This window comes from Homo sapiens, chromosome 7 (assembly GCF_000001405.40).
Source record: "Homo sapiens chromosome 7, GRCh38.p14 Primary Assembly".
Classification (NCBI taxonomy): domain Eukaryota; kingdom Metazoa; phylum Chordata; class Mammalia; order Primates; family Hominidae; genus Homo; species Homo sapiens.
In genome coordinates this window covers 5,353,070-5,371,853 of record NC_000007.14, presented here as the reverse complement: position 1 = coordinate 5,371,853, position 18,784 = coordinate 5,353,070, and the positions used below count along the sequence as shown (strand labels likewise).

At 53.6% G+C, this 18,784-nt stretch overlaps 1 protein-coding gene across 16 annotated transcripts in view, besides 1 other annotated feature; it reads left to right on the top strand.

The window, feature by feature from the left end:
- The window catches only part of TNRC18 (trinucleotide repeat containing 18), a 117,024-nt gene that overhangs the window by 51,981 nt on the left and 46,259 nt on the right, over positions 1-18,784 (top strand). For 13 of the 16 annotated variants that reach the window (XM_017012737.3, XM_047420983.1, NM_001080495.3 and 10 more), the window contains 6 exons: positions 490-1,479; positions 9,029-9,204; positions 9,821-9,957; positions 10,132-10,260; positions 12,285-12,456; positions 14,578-14,938. In XM_017012737.3, the coding sequence (XP_016868226.1) occupies positions 490-1,479; positions 9,029-9,204; positions 9,821-9,957; positions 10,132-10,260; positions 12,285-12,456; positions 14,578-14,938 (1,965 nt within the window). The remainder of the gene's footprint in view (positions 1-489; positions 1,480-9,028; positions 9,205-9,820; positions 9,958-10,131; positions 10,261-12,284; positions 12,457-14,577; positions 14,939-18,784) is intronic. The other 3 variants (XM_017012732.2, XM_047420981.1, XM_017012731.2) reach the window with 1 other exon arrangement.
- Positions 15,229-15,731: an enhancer, noted in NCBI's record as "H3K4me1 hESC enhancer chr7:5395754-5396256 (GRCh37/hg19 assembly coordinates)". NCBI's record gives its function as "activates a minimal SCP1, AML or CMV promoter by ChIP-STARR-seq in naive H9 embryonic stem cells {active_cell/tissue: H9 hESC(naive)}" and the evidence as "EXISTENCE:reporter gene assay evidence [ECO:0000049][PMID:30033119]".

Below are 18,784 nucleotides of genomic sequence, written 5' to 3'. Positions count from 1 at the left end.
AGCGATCATCCCCCTTTGGCCTCCTAAAGTGCTGGGATTACAGGCGTGGCCCACCACGCCTGGCTCTGCTGTTAGATTTTGAACAACTGCTTTAATGGGGTGGAGCAGTAGGTTCCTGGGGAGTGGAGACCAGACCACACAAGGTGGGTAAAGGCAGCTGTAGGCCTTTGCAGACCTCATGAAGTGTTGGCTTCTGGTCTAGCCTTGTGCTGGGTGCTGAGTGGGAAAGGAACAAGAGAGACCACTGTGGTTCTTTGCCTTCAAGACCACAAGACCTTGGGGACAAGAAGGTGGCTGGTTTTTCACTTTGGGGCCACTGCATGGCCCTGGGGTTTCTGAGATCCCACCTAGAACAGCTCCCACCCTGTAGCTGGGTGAGCAGGGGGCGGCTGCGTCCTGGGTCTCTGTCTGGGGTGGTGGGCGGGTGTCAGTGGGGACATGGGATATCAGATCCTAGGGCTCCCATGCTGACCCCTGTGTCCTTGGCAGATATCCCGCCCAGGTACCCGTTCCAAGCCCTGCCACCGCACTACGGGAGGCCCTACCCTTTCCTGCTGCAGCCCACGGCCGCCGCCGACGCGGACGGCTTGGCCCCTGATGTGCCGCTCCCGGCTGATGGGCCCGAGCGCCTGGCACTCTCACCCGAAGACAAGCCCATCCGCTTGTCCCCCTCCAAGATCACAGAGCCGCTGCGGGAGGGCCCGGAGGAAGAACCGCTGGCTGAGCGGGAGGTGAAGGCAGAGGTGGAGGACATGGACGAGGGCCCCACAGAGCTGCCGCCTCTGGAGTCGCCGCTGCCACTGCCCGCCGCGGAAGCCATGGCTACCCCCAGCCCTGCAGGGGGTTGTGGAGGTGGCCTGTTGGAGGCCCAGGCGCTGAGTGCCACCGGGCAGAGCTGCGCAGAGCCCTCTGAGTGTCCAGACTTTGTGGAGGGGCCTGAACCACGGGTGGATTCCCCGGGCCGGACAGAACCCTGCACCGCCGCCCTGGACCTGGGGGTGCAGCTGACACCCGAGACACTGGTGGAGGCCAAGGAGGAGCCGGTGGAGGTGCCTGTGGCGGTGCCCGTGGTGGAGGCAGTGCCCGAGGAAGGCCTGGCGCAGGTGGCACCGAGCGAGTCCCAGCCCACCCTAGAAATGTCAGACTGTGACGTGCCCGCCGGGGAGGGACAGTGCCCGAGCCTGGAGCCCCAAGAGGCCGTGCCTGTACTCGGCAGCACCTGCTTCCTGGAAGAGGCAAGCTCTGACCAGTTCCTGCCCAGTCTGGAGGACCCACTGGCTGGCATGAACGCCCTGGCGGCAGCTGCGGAGCTGCCCCAGGCCAGGCCTCTGCCCTCCCCGGGTGCTGCTGGAGCCCAGGCCTTGGAGAAGCTGGAAGCAGCCGAGAGCCTTGTCTTGGAGCAGAGCTTCCTGCATGGCATCACCCTGCTAAGTGAGATCGCAGAGCTGGAGCTGGAGAGGAGGAGCCAAGAGATGGGAGGTGAGAGTGCGCGACCTCTGAGTTCTGCAGATTCGTGAGTTTTAGTTTTGTGGTGATGGGGTCTTGCTGTGTTGCCCAGGCTGGAGTGCAGTGGCACAATCTTAGCTCACTGCAGCCTCAAACTCCTGGGCTCAAGTGATCTTCCCTCCCCAGCCTCCCCAGTAGCTTGGGCTACAGGCGTCCACCACCATGCCCAGCTAACTTTTTAAAAAGTTCTTTTTTTTAGAGATGGGGTCTTGCTCTGTTGCCCAGTCTGGTCTCAAACTCCTGGACTCAAGTGATTTTGCCCACCTTGACCTCCCAAAGTGCTGGGATTATAGGTGTGAGTCGCTCGCTGTGCCCGGCCTCTTAAACATTTTTTTATAAGATTTTTAAATTATGAAAAACCCGGAATATGGTTTATTCATATTAATTTTTTAAAAAATTGTGGTTAAGATACACATAACAAAATGTTCCATCTCGAGCATTTTTAAGCGTCCTGTTGAGTGAGTGGCATGTTAAGTGTGTTTGCACTGTGCAGCCAGTCTGTAGGTTTCCTGGTGGTGAAATTTCTCATTCTATTGATGGTGTGTTTTAGCAGGATTTCTTGGGTTGCAAGGAACAGAAACTCTCATTTAAATTGGTTTAGGCAGGAGAGAATTAATTGGCTCTTGGAACTGAAGTCCGGCAGTAATTAGGTAATTTCAGGTATGGCTGGATCTAGGTGTTCAAGCCAAGAAACCAAGTCTTTCTTTTCCTACACAGGCCCTTCCCTAGTCTCTCTCTCTCTGTGTCCCCGTCTCCTTCCCTCCTTCCCTCCTTCCCTCTTGCTGTTCGACTTTTCTCTCTGTTGGCCTCATTCAAGGCCGACTTACTGTCCTCACTGGGGTGGGGGGTGGTCTGTCAGTTCCTCCCAGGTCCCTGGGCCTGCTCAGCAGCCTTCCGAAAGAGGCCACCTCTTTCTTGCTAGCTTTGGCAAAAACACTGAGATTCATTCTCAAGGGCTGACTGCGGTTCATGCTTTGTTGTTGTTGTTTTTCTTTTTTTGAGCCATAGTCTCCCTCTATCACCCAGGCTGGTGTGCAGTGGTGTCATCTCGGCTCACTGCAGCCTCCGCCCTCCCGGGTTCAAGTGATTCTCCTACTTCAGCCTCCCAGGTAGCTGGGATTACAGGCATGTGCCACCATGCCTGGCTAATTGTTGTATTTTTAGTAGAGATGGGGTTTTGCCATGTTGGCCAGGCTGGTCTCGAACTCCCGACCTCAAGTGACCCGCCTGCCTTGGCCTCCCAAAGTGCTGGGATTACAGGTGTGAGCCACCGCTCCCAGCCTCGGTTCATGCTTTTTGCGGGCATCAAACTGAGTTCTGGGACATGGGCTGCGCTGATCATTACCTGTCCTTTGATCTGGGATGTGTTGCCTCTGGGGTGTAGGGAAGGGGGAGGGTAGTTCTCAAAGAGAATGGGATGCCTTCAGCAGAAAGGGCACTGAATGCTGGGCCAGACACAGAATGACTGATGTTCAGCATGGAAAACTGGGCCTAGAACTGGTTTGGAGGAAGGGCCGGGGCAACACCCGTTGAAGAGATGATATCCCTGCCAGTGTTTTAGTATATTTCCTCTAGAACACACATACACATATTTACTTCTCAAATTAAGATCTTTTTGTAAATAGTGTTCTGTAACCTGCCCTGCCCTTTTCACTTAAATTTTTTTTTTTTTTTTTTTTTTTTGAGACAGAGTCTCACTCTGTCACCCAGGCTGGAGTGCAGTGGTGCCATCTCGGCTCACTGCAACTTCCGCCTCCCAGGTTCAAGCGATTTTTCCTGCCTCAGCCTCCTGAGTACCTGGGATTACAGGCACGCACCACCATGCCTGGCTATCTTTTTGTATTTTTAGTGGAGATGGGGTTTCACCATGTTGGCCAGGCTGGTCTCGTACTCCTGACCTCAAGTGATCCACCCGCCTTGGCCACCCAAAGTGCTGGGATTACAGGCGTGAGCCACCGCGCCCGGACACTTTACTTAAAATGTTCTTTATTAAACATTTTTCAAAGCTGTGGGTTTTTTAATTTTTTTTTTTTTTTTACAAAAAGTAGAGATGGGGTTTCGCCATGTTGGCCAGGCTGGTCGCGAACTCTTGAACTCAAGTGATTTTCCCACCTTGGACTCCCAAATTGCTGGGATTACAAGCGTGAGCACCCGGCTTAAAGCTGTGGTTTTTAAAAAATCATTGTTTTAGGGACTGCCCAACTTTCTGCCTGGTGGTGGCCCTGGCCCTTGATGACCCAGTCTTAGATGGTCAGGCATTTTCGTCTGCTTTAAAACAAAGTTGTTTTTTTTTTTTCTCCGTTGCAAATAACATGATGGTTATCCTTGAAGAAAAAAAAACTTTGTCCGTATCTCTGATTTGCCTGGGATTGTATGCCCAGAGGTAGAACTGTTGGGTCCAAACAAGGCCACATTTTTCAAGGCTTTGTGACTGTCATGGTCAGATGGCCCTCAAGGAAGCCTGGAGAAGCCACGCTGCCATTGGCCTGTGTGAGCAACGCCCCCCTCCCCACTGGGAGGCACTTGTCCTAAAGTTCATTGCTGCTTTTCTCTCACGAAAATAGTTCAATAGAAACTTTTTTTTTTTTTTGGGTAGAAGAAAATCAAAATTCCCTTGGTTGGCCAGGCACGGTGGCACACGCCTGTAATCCCAGCATTTTGGGAGGCCGAGGCGGGCAGATCATCTGAGGTCAGGAGTTCGAGACCAGCCTGGCCAACATGGTGAAACCCCATCTCTACTAAAAATACAAAAATTAGCTGGGCGTGGTGGCGGGCACCTGTAATCCCAGCTACTCGGGAGGCTGAGGCAGGAAAATCACTTGAACCTGGGAGGCGGAGGTTGCAGTGAGCCGAGATGGTACCACTGCCCTCCAGCCTGGGCAACAAGAGTGGAACTCCATCTCAAAAAAAAAACAAAAAACAAAAAACATTCCCTTGGTCTTCCCACCTGGTACTGGTTTTGTTTTTGTTTTTAATTATTTCTGGGACAGAATCTCCCTCTGTTGCCCAGGCTGGAGTGCAGTGGTGTGATCTCCGCTCACTGCAAGCTCTGCCTCCTGGGTTCAGGTGATTCTCCTGCCTCAGCTTCCCAAGTAGCTGGGATTACAGGCACATGCTACCACATCCAGCTAATTTTTGTATTTTTAGTAGAGACGGGGTTTCCCCATGTTGGCCATGCTGGTCTTGAACTCCTGGCCTCAAGTGATCCGCCCGCCTCAGCCTCCCAAAGTGCTGGGATTACAAGTGTAAGTCACTGCACCCAGCCCAGAATTCTCCACCCTATTAGGACACCAGCCTTACGGAATGAAGGCCCACTGTCATGACTTGAACTTGACCACCTCTGCAAACGCCCTGTCTCCCACAGAGGTCACCTAATGAGGTTACTAGGGGTTAGGATTCTCGCATATTAAATTAGTGGGGACACGACTGAACCCATCACCACTGGCCTAGAGGTCACTTGGGCGTCCCTTGCCTGATCAGTTAAGAGCTTAGGGATAATAGGTTTGTGGGAGGGTGAAGGAGGTGACAGAGTTGTACCTTGGTCCCCTCTTGGAGAACAGAACAGCCCTCCATCCTTACCTGACATTGTAGACTCTTAAGTCTCGCAGGACCTCGAGGCGGGGGTATGGGGTGGGTGAGATGGTTTCAATCTAACATCAACCTTTGGGAGCTGATCAGGTTTGCGGCTTTGTGGCCTCAGTTTCCCTAAAGATATAAGAAGAGCGGCCAGCCGCGGTGGCTCACGCCTGGAATCCCAGCACTTTGGGAGGCCAAGGCAGGCGGATCACTTGAGGTCAGGAATTTGAGACCAGCCTGGCCAACATGGGGAAACCCCATCTCTACTAAAAATAAAAAAATTAGCTGGGTGTGGTGACACATACCTGTAGTCCCAGCTACTCAGGGGACTGAGGCAGAATTGCTTGAATCCAGGAGGCGAAGGTTGCATGAGCCAAGATTGGTCACTGCACTCCAGCCTGGGCGACAGAGTGAGATTCTGTCTCACAAAAAAAAAAAAAAAAAAAAAAAAAAGATATAAGAAGAGCAAAACAAGCATTCTCAACTAGGGATGATTTTGTCCCCCCAGGGGACATTGGCAACCACATTTTTGGTTGTCACAGCTTGGGGGGAGCACTACTGCCATCTAGTGGGTAAAGGCAGGGACTCAGCAAGACACCCTACAGTGAAGGCAGAGGACAAGCCCCCAGCAGAGATGCGAATGAATAGTGAAATGTGAATAGTGCCAAGGAAGAGAAGCTCCCCCTCAGCAGCATCATTAGTCATGTCTGTCTCTGGAACTTTGCACACTGCCAATAGAGAATATGGTTTTCGGCTCACCGCAGTCTCCGCCTCCCAGGTTCAAGCGACTCTCCTGCCTCAGCCTCCTGAGTAGCTGGCATTATAGGCATGCGCCACCAGGCCCGGCTAGTTTTTTGTATTTTTAGTAGAGATAGGGTTTCTCCATGTTGGTCAGGCTGGTCTCGAACTCCTGACCTCAGGTGATCCGCCCGCCTCGGCCTCCCAAAATGCTGGGATTACAGACGTGAGCCACCACACCCAGCCAAAAATTGGTATTTTAGATCACAAAGAAAATGTCAGCCGGGCATGGTGGCTCACGTCTGCAATCCCAGTACTTTGGGAGGCTGCGGCAGAAGGACTGCTTGTGCCCAGGAGTTTAAGACCCGCCCGGGCAACATGGCGAGACCCCATGTGCATTAAAAAAATGAAATGTCAATTGAAAAATTATAATAGAACTCATTTAAATTTGGTAGAGACTAAAGCAAGATCTCTGTGGTTGGAGCACCCTTCCTGGAGGGTAGGGGGAGTATTTATCAGAGAACTGCACACACCTGGTCATATTCATCACACTGGTGAGGCTCTTCCTGTCACACGTGTCCCAGCTATGTGCCCATGTGCTCCTATTACAAAAAGATAGGAGGCCGGACACGGTGGCTCACGCCTGTAATCTCAGCACTTTGGGAGGCTGAGGCGGGAGGATCACTTGAGCCCAGGAGTTCAAGACCAGCCTGGGAAACATAGCAAGACCCCATCTCTACAAAAAAATACAAAAACTAGCTGGGTGTGACGGCATGTGCCTGTGGTCCCAGCTACTCAGGAGGCTGAGGCAGGGTGATTGCTTGAGCCTGGCAGCTTGAGGCTGTGGTGACGTGTGATGGTGAACTCCAGCCAGGGTGGGGGACAGAGTGAGACCCTATCTTGAAAAGACAGGAAACAATCTAAATGCCATCAATGGGAGATGACTTAGATGAATCAAAACTCATCAATTCAAGAGTGTTCTAGGCTGCCCTTCCGCCCCCGCCCCCCCACATGATTCTGCGTAGGCTCCTTTGCACGTTTGGCCATTTAAAATTGCTGGCATTCTAGTGTTTTTGACCTTTAGAGATGGCAGTTTTTATAAGGTCCAAGCTCATAATGAGGAGGTAGATGTTTGCTTTGTGCTAATATGAGAAAAGACATTAAGCAGAAAAAAAGCAAAATGTGATACAGTATGTACTGATTGAGATCTTTTTTTTTTTTTTTTTTTTCCTGAGACAGCCTCCCTCTGTTGCCCAGGCTGGGGTACAGTGGGGCTATCATGCCTCCCCGCAACCTCTGCCTCCTGGGTTCAAGCGATTCTGGTGCCTCAGCCTCCCAAGTAGCTGGGATTACAGGTGGTCACCACCATGCCCAGCTAATTTCTGTATTTTTAGTAGAGAGGGGGTTTTACCATGTTGGCTAGGCTGGTTTCAGACTCCTGGCCTCAAGCCATCCACCCGCCTCGGCCTCCCAAAGTGCTGGGATTACAGGCATGAGCCACCGTGCCCAGCCTGAGATCGTGTGTGTGTGTGTGTGTGTGTGTGTGTGTGTGTGTGTGTGTGTGTGTGTGTTTTCTTTGAGACAGGCTCGCTCTGTTGCCCAGGCTGGAGTGCAGTGGTGTGATCATGGCTTACTGCAGTCTCAACTTCCTGGGTTCAAGTGATCTTCTTGCCTCAGCCTCCCGAGTAGCTGGGACTACAGGCACCCAGTTTACATTTATATTTTATTTAATTTTGTTTTTGAGCTGGAGTCTCGCTGTGTTGCCCAGGTTGGAGTGGCTCAATCTCAGCTCACTGCAACTTCTGCCTCCTGAGTTTAAGCAGTTCTTATGCCTCAACCCCCGAATAGCTGGGACTACAGGTGCTTGTTACCATGCCCAGCTAATTTTTGAATTTTTAGTAGAGACAGGGTTTCACCATGTTGGCCAGACTGGTCTCAAAACTGCTCACCTCAAATTATCCACCTGCCTTGGCAACCCAAAGTGTTGGGATTACAGGCGTGAGCCACTGCACCCGGCTTATTTTTATATTTTAAAGGATGCCCGTGGATGTCGTGTGCATTTGAATATGCATAATCATTTCTGGAACTGTCTACTGGAAACTGCACCCACAGTAGCCTCCCGAGGGAGGGACCTGTGTGTTGGAGGAGGAAGGAAGCGGGCTGTCTTTTTTTTTTACACCTTTCTGCTTGGTTTGTGTTTTTCATCCTGGGCTTTTTTCTGATTATAAGAGCTATGCATATTCACTATGGAAAAATGCACGTACAAATAAGTGGAAGGAGAGCCGTACTGCTGGAAAGAACCCTTCGGTCTTTGGAGGCCCTCCCTCTGGAGGCTTATGCTGTGCCTAGCCTGTACTCTGTGAATAGAGCACAGGACCCTGTGCCAGGCGTGCTGCCTTCTCTCCTGTTCGATTGATTGATTGATTGATTGAGATGGAGTCTCCCTCTGTCACCCAGGCTGGAGTGCAGTGGCGCCATCTCGGCTTACTGCAAGCTCCGCCTCCCAGGTTCTCGCCATTCTCCTGCTTCAGCCTCCCGAGTAGCTGGGGCTACAGGCGCCCGCCACCACACCCGGCTAATTTTTTTGTATTTTTTAGTAGAGATGGGATTTCACCGTGTTAGCCAGGATGGTCTCCATCTCCTGACCTCATGATCTGCCCGCCTCGGCCTCCCAAAGTGCTGGGATTACAGGCGTGAGCCACCACGCCTGGCCTATTTATTTATTTTTTTTGAGATGGAGTCTTGCTCTGTTGCTCAGGCTGGCATGCGGTGGTGCAAACTCAGCTCACTGCAACCTCTGCCTCCCGGGTTCAAGTGGTTCTCCCGCCTTAGTCTCCCGAGTAGCTGGGATTCCAGGCGTGTGCCACTACACCCGGCTAGTTTTTGTTATTTTTAGTAGAGGTGGGGTTTCACTGTTTCACCATGTTGGCTAGGCTGGTCTTGAACTCCCGACCTAAGGTGATCTGCCCGCCTCAGCCACCCAAAGTGCTGGGATTACAGGCGTGAGCCACCATGCCTGGCCTTCTCCCCGTTCTTGTTTAGAGATGCTCAGGACTTCCGGCATGTCACAAAGGCCTCTGTCTACTCAGCACCTTGGGGGATGGGCACGTGTGGCCTGGGGCCTGCGCTTGCTTTGGGCCTCGGCATCCCCGTTTGGGGTTGGGGAAGGGGTGGCAGCAGCGCCCTGTTACCTACCTCCTGTCCACAGGTGCGGAGCGGGCCCTGGTGGCGCGGCCCTCCCTGGAGAGTCTGCTGGCAGCTGGCAGCCACATGCTGAGGGAGGTGCTGGATGGGCCCGTGGTGGACCCACTCAAGAACCTGCGGCTCCCGCGGGAGCTGAAGCCCAACAAGAAGTACAGCTGGATGCGCAAGAAGGAGGAGCGGGTGAGCGGCTGGCTGCTTCCTCCCTGGGGTCCGCGGGGGAGGCTGGGTGGGAGGCCCCTCTGTGGAGGTGCCCTACTGCCTGGGGCGTGGCTGGCTTTGGCGCCAGAGAGGCCTGAGCTACGTTCAGCTCCTTGTGCTGATGTGCTGTGTGGTCCCAGTCAAGTGGTTGCCCTTCTCGGGGACTCAGTTTACCTGTCTGCTAGCATGTCAGGCTCATCACACAGGTCGCGGTGTGATCCACTGGAAACAGAGTAGCCCAGGGTCACATGTAGCTCTGGCCTTAGGTGCCCACGGGGCCTGGGGCTGCAGCATCCCCTTGCTGAGCCTTCCGTTTATAAATGACACAGTGGCCCTCACTGATGGAGCAGGTGTCACACGCAAGCACTGTGCTTCAGGCATGACATCTAATTGAGCACTGCCACAGCCCCGCAGAGCCAGCACAGGGTCCCTTGCATACGATGAGGCCATGGCCACAGTCAGGAGGTGGCAGCGGTGGGACTCGAGCCCCAGCTCCCAGTGCAGTCTCCCCTTCCTCAGGGGCACCCCTGGGTGGGCGGTGGGCGTCGTTAGGCAGTGGCATCCTCACCCCCTCCTCCTCTCCCGGTTCTTCCCCCAGATGTATGCCATGAAGTCCTCCCTGGAGGACATGGACGCCCTGGAGCTGGACTTCCGGATGCGGCTGGCCGAGGTGCAGCGCCAGTACAAGGAGAAGCAGCGTGAGCTGGTGAAGCTGCAGCGCCGCCGGGACTCCGAGTGAGTGTGTCCCCCGCCCGCCCCGTGGGGCCCCTGCCCCGGCCCACCAGGCCCCCAGGCGCGCAGCAGCCGTCGAGGTGTGCGTGGACCCGGCGCCGTGTGTGCATCGTGTGCCCGTTCTCCGCGCCCCGCCCGCCCCCCAGCGTCACAGCCAAGCGTGTGATTCTTTTTAAGGGACAGGCGCGAGGAACCCCATAGAAGCTTGGCACGCAGAGGCCCTGGCAGGCCGCGGAAACGGACCCACGCCCCGAGCGCCCTGTCGCCCCCCCGCAAGAGAGGGAAGAGCGGCCACAGTAGCGGAAAGTAAGGCTGGCCCCTCGGTGGGTCGGGGACTGGCACACAGCTTGAGGGGAGGAGCCCGGGCCCCACGCAGGGCCTGCCTCGGGGTGCTGGGGGACCTCGCGTCCCTCGGGCTCTGACCTACCCGCAGCAGTGGCCCTCGGGGAGCACGGCCTGTGCTGCCCGGGCCAGGAGGGAGCGAGGCCGGTGCTGAGCCTGGAGGATGGCTCCTGCGACAGATTTTTCCCGTGTCCTAACCCAGCGCTTCACCTGTCTTCCTGCCACGCCTGCCTCCTCACGCCTAGGGCCTAATTCCTCCTCTTTTCCACGCGCCTCCTCCCTGCGGAAGGACCCGCTGGGCTGCCAGCCTTGCTTGTTGGGACGGGCTATGACCCGGCTGTCGCTCGGTCTCCGCCGTGCCGGACCTGCTGGCTTGCCCCGAGACCAGGGCTGGCCCCTTCTGGCACTTGGGGACAAGCTTCTCCTCCTCGGGCGGCGGTCGCAGCCTTGTGGGGCACCTGTGTGGGTCTTTCTGAACGCCAGCTGGAATGAGAGCTTTTCCCGCAGGGCGAGGCGTGCACAGAAAAGATGCTTCGTCCTTCCCTCGGTGTCTGTAGCACGATCGGAAAGGGGCCCGTCAAGGAAAGGGGTTGGAGTGTTGGGAGCCTGGGGCAGGAGGGTGGGGTAGACGCTAGGCGGCTCAAGACCTGCCCTGAGGAAGCAGAAGGAGCGTGGGGGGACCTTCGGAGGGCACAGGAGAGGCAGTGGGAAGGCCACAGTTCTTCTCAGGATAAAACAGCCCCAAGGCCCCCATGTCTTGCATTTAACATTCTTGGATGTTTCTGACCGAAGAGAGGATGGAGAGAGGTAGAAATCTCCCTCACCAGCCGCAGCAGGGGCAGGGAGAGCTTCCCGGAGAAGAGGGCAGGAGGCTGCGGCCACCAGCAGCGTGGTGGTCAGGGGTGTGGCCTGCACTGGTTAAATTTCCTGTTCTTGAGTCCCAGCACCACCCCTTAGTGTGACCGACCTCGGGCCAGGTGTTAGCTTTTCCGAGCCTGTTTTCTCATCTATAAAAAAATAAGTACACAGGTTGGCCACGGTGGCTCACGCCTGTAATCCCAGCACTTTAGGAGGCCGAGGCAGGCGGATCACTTGAGGTCAGGAGTTTGAGACCAGCCTGGGCAACATGGAGAAACCCCTTCTTTACTAAAAATACAAAAATTAGCCAGGTGTGGTGGTGTGTGCCTGTAATCCCAGCTATTTGGGAGGCTGAGGTGGGAGAATTGCTTGAACCTGGGAGGCAGAGGTTGCAGTGAGCTGAAATCGAGCCATTGCACTGCATCCTGGCAACAGAGTGAGACTCCATCTAAAAATAAATTAAATAAATAAATAAATAAATAAATAAATAAATAAAATACAGCAGCAGCAAACGTTTGTGGCCAAAATATAAAGCCACTAACACAGTGCAAGACACACAGTGAGTGAGTGCCAAGTACAGATCGGCTGTTTCGATCACCTGTGAAGTTTCAGCTTAAAGCAAGCAAGTGGGGCTTCTAAGCCATGTCTGTGTCCCCACTGCGCACGGGATTCCAGAGACCAGCAAGTGGCTCCTTCTTCGTTTTTTTTTTCCCTTACTGGAAAAGAGAGACTGGAATCCTTCTTCGTGTAAACTTGTGTTCTGAACTCCCCCTGCCATCCTGGTGGATTTCCTTGGCGTTTCTGATCTTTGTTCTTGGCACGATTTGGTAAATAGGTATCTGACCGCACAGAGATGTGTGTGTGTGTGTGTGAGTGTACGCGTAAAAGCGCACAAGAAAGAAAATGCTTTCTTCCTTCTTTCACCTTAAACTCTCATTCTGCCTCATTCACAAATATCCCAGAATTCCAGCACTGTTGTTTTACAAGATCCATCTCCCCACGCCCGTCACTCTGCCATCACTGTCCACGCTCAGGGTCCAGAGCCCAACCCTTCAGGGCCATGAGGGTGGACCTCAGCCTGCGAGCCTTGTCTGGCCAGGGTGCTGACCGGCAGTGTGTCTGCGTTTCAGGCTGAGCAGCAAGTCTCTGCTGACATCAGATGATTATGAGCTGGGAGCAGGGATAAGAAAGAGACACAAGGGGTCTGAGGAGGAACATGATGCCCTCATCGGAATGGGGAAAGCCAGGGGGAGGAACCAGACTTGGGATGAACATGAGGCCTCGTCGGACTTCATCAGTCAGGTGAGTAACCCAGTCTTCCAGGTGTGTGAGATCTTTCAGGGAGGTGTCTGGAGGGTGTGTTAAGAGTTCACGCTCCCTTCGCAGGCCCTTTGTTCCTGTACAGAAACCTTAGAAGTGGTTGTCTTCAATGCCGGAATGACTCTTCTCCAATCTTCCTTATTGTACAGAGGGGGAGATTAAGGCCCAGAGGAGGTCAGAGACCTACCGACGTAACACAGCCTCAGAGACAGGAGGCCTAAAAGCTATCTCCCTCTGTGTGCTGCATGACCCTTTGCTAAAGCCAAGGAGAGACACAAGTTCTTAACCAAGTAATACAATTGCTCTGTTGTTTAATGGTGTAATAGTTTAATGAGCAGCTCTGCCATTCTGTAGTTCTAAGAAACAAGGGCTTGGTGCCATGGTAATTTCCTCTCTGAACTCTCCAGGGGTAATGGGCTGAGAGCCAACTCCTTGATTCTTCTTATTTCTTCAGAACATTGAAATCATCCACTTAAGGTGCCTTTTTGTAAATACTAATGTACCTTGCCATCCCTCCCCATAAAGTCCAGTGCAAAGGGGTAGTTTTTTTTTGTTTGTTTGTTTTTTTGAGACAGAGTCACTCAGTCACCCAGGCTGGAGTGCCGTGGCACGATCTCGGCTCACTGCAACATCCGCCTCCCAGGTTCAAGCGATTCTCCTGCCTCAGCCTCCCAAGTAGCTGGGATTACAGGTGCCCACCACTATGTCCAGCTGATTTTTGTATTTTTAGTAGAGATGGGGTTTCACCATCTTGGCCAGGCTGGCCTCGAACTCCTGACCTCAGGTGATCTGCCTACCTCAGCCTCCCAAAGTGCTGGAATTCCAGGTGTGAGCCACTGCACCCAGCTGAGGGGTATTTTGGTTGACTTGGCTGAGAGGGGCAGGCTCATGGAGGGAGACGGGGTCTAAGAGAAGAAAGATTGCCAGTGTTAACACCAGATCGTTTTTACTTTCAAATTGTGGTGAGGGATGCTTTTGTTTTAATTGACACCATCCCAGCTTTTTTCTTCCTTAAGAAATGTCACCTGATTAAAGAAAATAGAGATAAAATGTTCAAACCTGGGGCATTAATGGCTTTGAAACTGCGTGTTTCGCTTCAACAAATGACTACAGCTGACGATAGACATGCAGGCAGGAATTTAATCTGTGAAATCTCTAATCGTTCTTTCTGCTTCAGGCATCCAAGGAACACTTGAGGCATTTTTTTTGGCAGCTTCGGCCCCTTTAGTTGGATGAACTGGTTTGGAGTGTGCACTAGTACTTTGTCAGCTGCTGTAGGTGGCTGAGATAGGCATATCAGCTGCGCTTCAATCTGGGTTTTTGATCTTGATTCCTTTCCTCCTCCCTTAATCCGGCTGCCTTCTTCAGGCCATCGGCAGCAGCACTTGGTCGAAGTACTTCCTTAGGAGGCACCAAGCAGTGCCACGGAAAGCCAGGGCCAGCGATCAGTGTAACCACAGCACCAGCTATTTAATAAGTGGTTACCTTGTACCAGACGTTGTGGTCACTGCATACCTTATCTGAGTTCATCTTCAGAAGCACCTTGCGATACCCAGACACAAGTACCCCCATTTTACAGAGTTACACATTGAAGCTGGCCAGTCGTGGTCAGCCTGGAATCCCAACAGTTTGGGAGGCTGAGGTGGGAGAATGGCTTGAGCCTAAAAGTTTGAGACCAGCCTGGGCAACATGATGAAACCCCAGCTCTACAAAAATAAAAATAATAAAAATTAGCCAGGAGTGGTGGCGCACGCCTGTATTCCCAGCTACCAGAAAAGCTGAGGCGGGAGGGTCACAGAGCCCAGAGGTCGAGGCTGCAGTGACTTGCGACTCCCAGCTAGTCGGGAGCCTGAGGCAGGAGAAATGCTTGGACCTGGGAGGTGGAGGTTGCAGTGAGCCGAGATCGCGCCACTGAACCCCAGGCTGGGCGACAGAGCGAGACTCCGTCTCTAAAAAAAAAATAAATATATATGCGTGCTAAGAGGAGTTAAATCACAGAGGCAGGTGAAGGATTGGAGCCCAGGCTGGGCAGAGCATGTGCACTGAAACCCACTATACTGTTTTGTCAGATCTTTTAACCCATGACCCACCTTCCCTCTCCAGCTAAAGATTAAGAAGAAGAAGATGGCCAGCGACCAGGAGCAGTTGGCAAGCAAGCTCGACAAGGCCCTCTCCCTCACCAAGCAGGACAAGTTGAAGTCGCCCTTCAAGTTTTCGGACAGTGCTGGGGGGAAATCGAAAACTAGCGGGGGCTGCGGCAGGTACTTGACTCCTTACGACAGCCTGCTGGGGAAGAACAGGAAGGCGCTGGCCAAGGGCCTCGGCCTGTCTCTGAAATCCTCCAGAGAAGGTAAACACAAAAGGGCAGCCAAAACCAGGAAGATGGAGGTGGGGTTCAAGGCCAGAGGCCAGCCCAAGTCGGCCCATTCCCCGTTTGCCTCGGAAGTGAGCAGCTACTCTTACAGTAAGTAGCGTATGCCGCGCCACCTCTGGTCCGCTGCTTCTCTCCTTTTCTCCCCTCTTCTCTCCACCGTCCTCCTTCCCCCCCCGCCCCTCACTCTCTCTCTCGCTCTCGCTCTCTCTCTGGGGCGCACTACAGTGCCTGAGCTTGGCATGGCCTCCAAGCCGGAAGTGGGGGGGGAGGCCGCCTGAAGCGGATATGCCTGTGACTGGCGGGTGTGATGCCAGGCAGGTGCTTGTGATTGGTGGGCGCCCGTGATTGGCGGTTGGGAGCCGACCTCCGCCGGCCCTGTCTTGCCCGCCCGCCATTTGCCTACCGGATGTCATAGGCGAGGAAGCCTTGTGCGTCATAGAGTTTGCGGCTGTTTGGCCTAGAGAGGCCTGGAGCGCGACTGCTCTTGAGGGTCCTAGAGGTGACCGGACTCCCCTACCCACAGGAAGCATGCCGTCTGTTGCGGACCACGGCTTTGTCGCGAAGTGTTGGCGGAAGCAGTGTTTATGGAGCGCCCACCGTGCTCGGCTATGGATGCAGGGGTTCATTGGCGTTACTGTGTCTGTGGCAGCTCTGACAGTGGTACCCCCATGTTGTTACTGGGGATGATGTGGCCCGAGAGCCAGAGGGGAGTGTGTGCGCTCGGGTGCGGAGAGGCGACTCGGGGTTAAACCTGGTTCGGCCCGACCCACCTACCCACTGGAACCTGCTGCCATCATGGCTGTGTCCCACTATTTTCTTTCTTTTTTTTTTTTTTTTAATTTGAGACGGAGTCTCACTCTGTCGTCCAGGCTGGAGTGCAGTGGTGCGATCTTGGCTCACTGCAACTTCTAGCTCCTGGGTTCAAGCGATTCCCTTGGCTCTGCCTCCCGAGTAACTGGGACTACAGGCTTGTGCCACCACACCCAGCTAATTTTGTATTTTTAGTAGAGACGGGGTTTTGCCATGTTGGCCAGGCTGGTCCTAAACTCCTGACCTCAGGTGATCCACCTGCCTCGGCCTGCAAAGTGCTGGGATTATGGGCGTGAGCTACTGTGCCGTGCGTTTTTTGAGACAGGGTCTCTTCTTATTGCTTAGGCTGGAGTGCAGTGGGGCCATCATAACTCACTGCAGCCTCGAGCTCCTGGGCTCAAGTGATCTTCCTGCCTTAGCCCTCCGAGTAGCTGGGACTAGGTGAGCACCACCACACCCGGCTAATTTTTAAAATTTTTTGTAGAGACAGGGTCTTGCAGTGTTTCCCAGGCTGGTGCCTGGGCTCAAGCAATCCTCCCCTCTGAACCTCCTGAGTATCTGGGACTACAGCTGTGTACCACCACGTGCAGCTAATTTATTTTTATTTTCGTAGAGATGGGGTCTCCCTGTTTTCCAGGCTAGTCTGGAACTCCTGGCCTTAAGCAAGCATCCCACTTTAGCCTCCCGAATAGCTGGGACCATAGGCGCACACTACTACTATTTTTATTTTTATAGAGGCTGAGTGTTGCTGTGTTGCCCATGCTGGTCTTAAACTCCTGGGATCAAGAGATCCTCCTGCCTCAGCCTCCCAAAGTGCTGGGATTACAGGCGTGAGCTGCCTTGCCTAGCTGCTATTGAGCTCTTGAAATGGAGCATTCCTGATGGGACTGAAGAATGGAGTTTTATCTCATTTAACAAGAGACTGTCAGATTGGAGCGTCCTCATGGTTATGGCCTCTTGTGGCCCAGAACCTGCTGCCTGGCAGGTAGTGGGTGCTTGCTCAGTATCTGTGGACAGAGCACCTCATGCCCAGGGCGGACAGGTGCTAAGTTTGTGGCTAGCTGCAGGGAGGCCAGAAGGAGGGAGCTTCCTGGGTTCTGGCCCATGTCAGTGTCAGTGGTGTTTGTTCTGGGAATCCCCAGGCCCTGGGGCGGGTGGAGAGCTTTTGCATTGGCAGCTGCCTGGTTCTGTGTGTCTGGGGCTTTTGATTGGCTCTGGCCGGTTCATGGGCGGAGAAGGGGGAGTTTGACTGTCAAGGGCGAAAAGTCGCCGTGTTTATTGATACCGTAAAGCATGTTTTCTTAAGGAAATAAAAAGTGTTTATGGACTCAGAGTTAAGATATCGTCACCTGCTTTACGGGGTCGTTGGGGGCCTTAAGTGAGCTTACGTGGGCAGAGAGCTGAACGTGGCACCTGGCACGGAATTAAGCTGCTAGTTTTTTCAGGGTGCGTGTGTTTCGTCTGTCCTAGGCTAGCAGGTCACCAGGACTCATGCTCCCTGTGGGTGTGAGTTAAGCAGCTGGCTCATGCCTTCTGTGCTGAGGACATATGAGAGTGTCGTGGTTTCAGTGCTTCTTTGATTGGGATGGGTGTGATCAGAGCAGTGTAGCCTAGGCTCCTGGCCAGTGTGTGGGCACAAGCAGGAAGAGACAGTGCCAGAGACTCATCACTCTGAGGGGGAAGGGAGGGGCTTTCTTTTGCTCTCTCAATCTCTGCTCATTTTGGAAAAGTGAAGGGGGTTCAGGGAAGTCGGGGGAGATTGCTGTTCTTTTGATCTTCTGAGGGATTGGGGTCTGTGGATGCAGTTTGGGTGGTAGCTGAAAGAATTCCCCACTTTCAGGTGGACGTGGATGGGGTGGAGCTGGAGGTCAGAGATGTGCTCTGTCTCTGATGTCTCTGGGGTGCTCCGAGCTGGTGTGTTCACTCTTGGCACGTGTGAGGGAATGTCCGTTTTATTTATTTATTAATTATTACTATTATTATTATTATTTTGAGATGGAGTTTTGCTGTTTTTGCCCAGGCTGGAGTACGGTGGCATGATCTCGGCTCACTGCGACCTCCGCCTCCCGGGTTCAAGTGATTGTCCTGCCTCAGCCTCCTGAGTAGCTGGGGTTACAGGCACGCACCACCACACCCAGCTAATGTTGTTATTTTTAGTAGAGACGGGGTTTCACCACATTGGCCAGGCTGGTCTTGAGCTCCTGACCTCAGGTGATCCGCCTGCCTCGGCCTCCCAAAGTGCTGGGATTAGAGGCATGAGCTGCCGTGCCTGGTCTGGGAATGGTCAAATGGGCAACTTCACTCCATCGTGCCTGTGTCGAAAACTCCACTGTCCTGGATGAGAGAAACGGACTCATGGAGCAGTGAGGAATTCAGTGGGCCTGGCTCCAGCAGGACGGTGGCTGTGGGATTCACCTGGCTCTGCAGAGCGCTCCTCTGTTTATTTTTTATAATCTGCTTTTCTGCAATTCTGGGTCAGAGAGAGTGCAGGGTTCACAAGGAGGTAGGGGTGTGTCCAGCAGGGAGTTGCTGAGCTGGACGGAGGTCGAAGCGAGAACGGTCTCCTCTTGCTTTTTCAGTTTCGATTGTAGGGGTCGCTGGCATGCCCTGTGGGTTTTTTTTTTTTTTTTTTTCTTTAGATGATGTCTTGCTCTGTCGCCCAGGCTGGAGTGCAGTGGTGTGATCTCGGCCGCACTGCAACCTCCACCTCCCGGGTTCAAGTGATCCTCCCACCTCAGCCTCCGGAGTAGCTGGGATAACAGGCCCTGTCCACTACAATACAATACAAATAGAAAATACAACAGTTTGTGTATTTTTTAAAAATACAGACGGGGTTTTGCCATGTTGGCCAGGCTGGTCTCGAACTCCTGGCCTCACGTGAGCTGCCCGCCTCAGCCTCCCAAAGTGGTAGGATTACAGATGCAAGCCATTGCACCCGACCTCCCTGTGGGTTCTTGTAGGAGGCCAAGTTGGTTGTCACCCACTTAGCCTCTCCAGCCTGGGACACAGCCTCGGGAGGGACAGATTGGAGCATACAAGAGAGAGCGCACTTTGACTGGTTCGATGGGCAGGGGCTGGTAGCCTGGCGGGGCTGGACCCTTGTCCCACCCAAGAGTTGCCGGACCA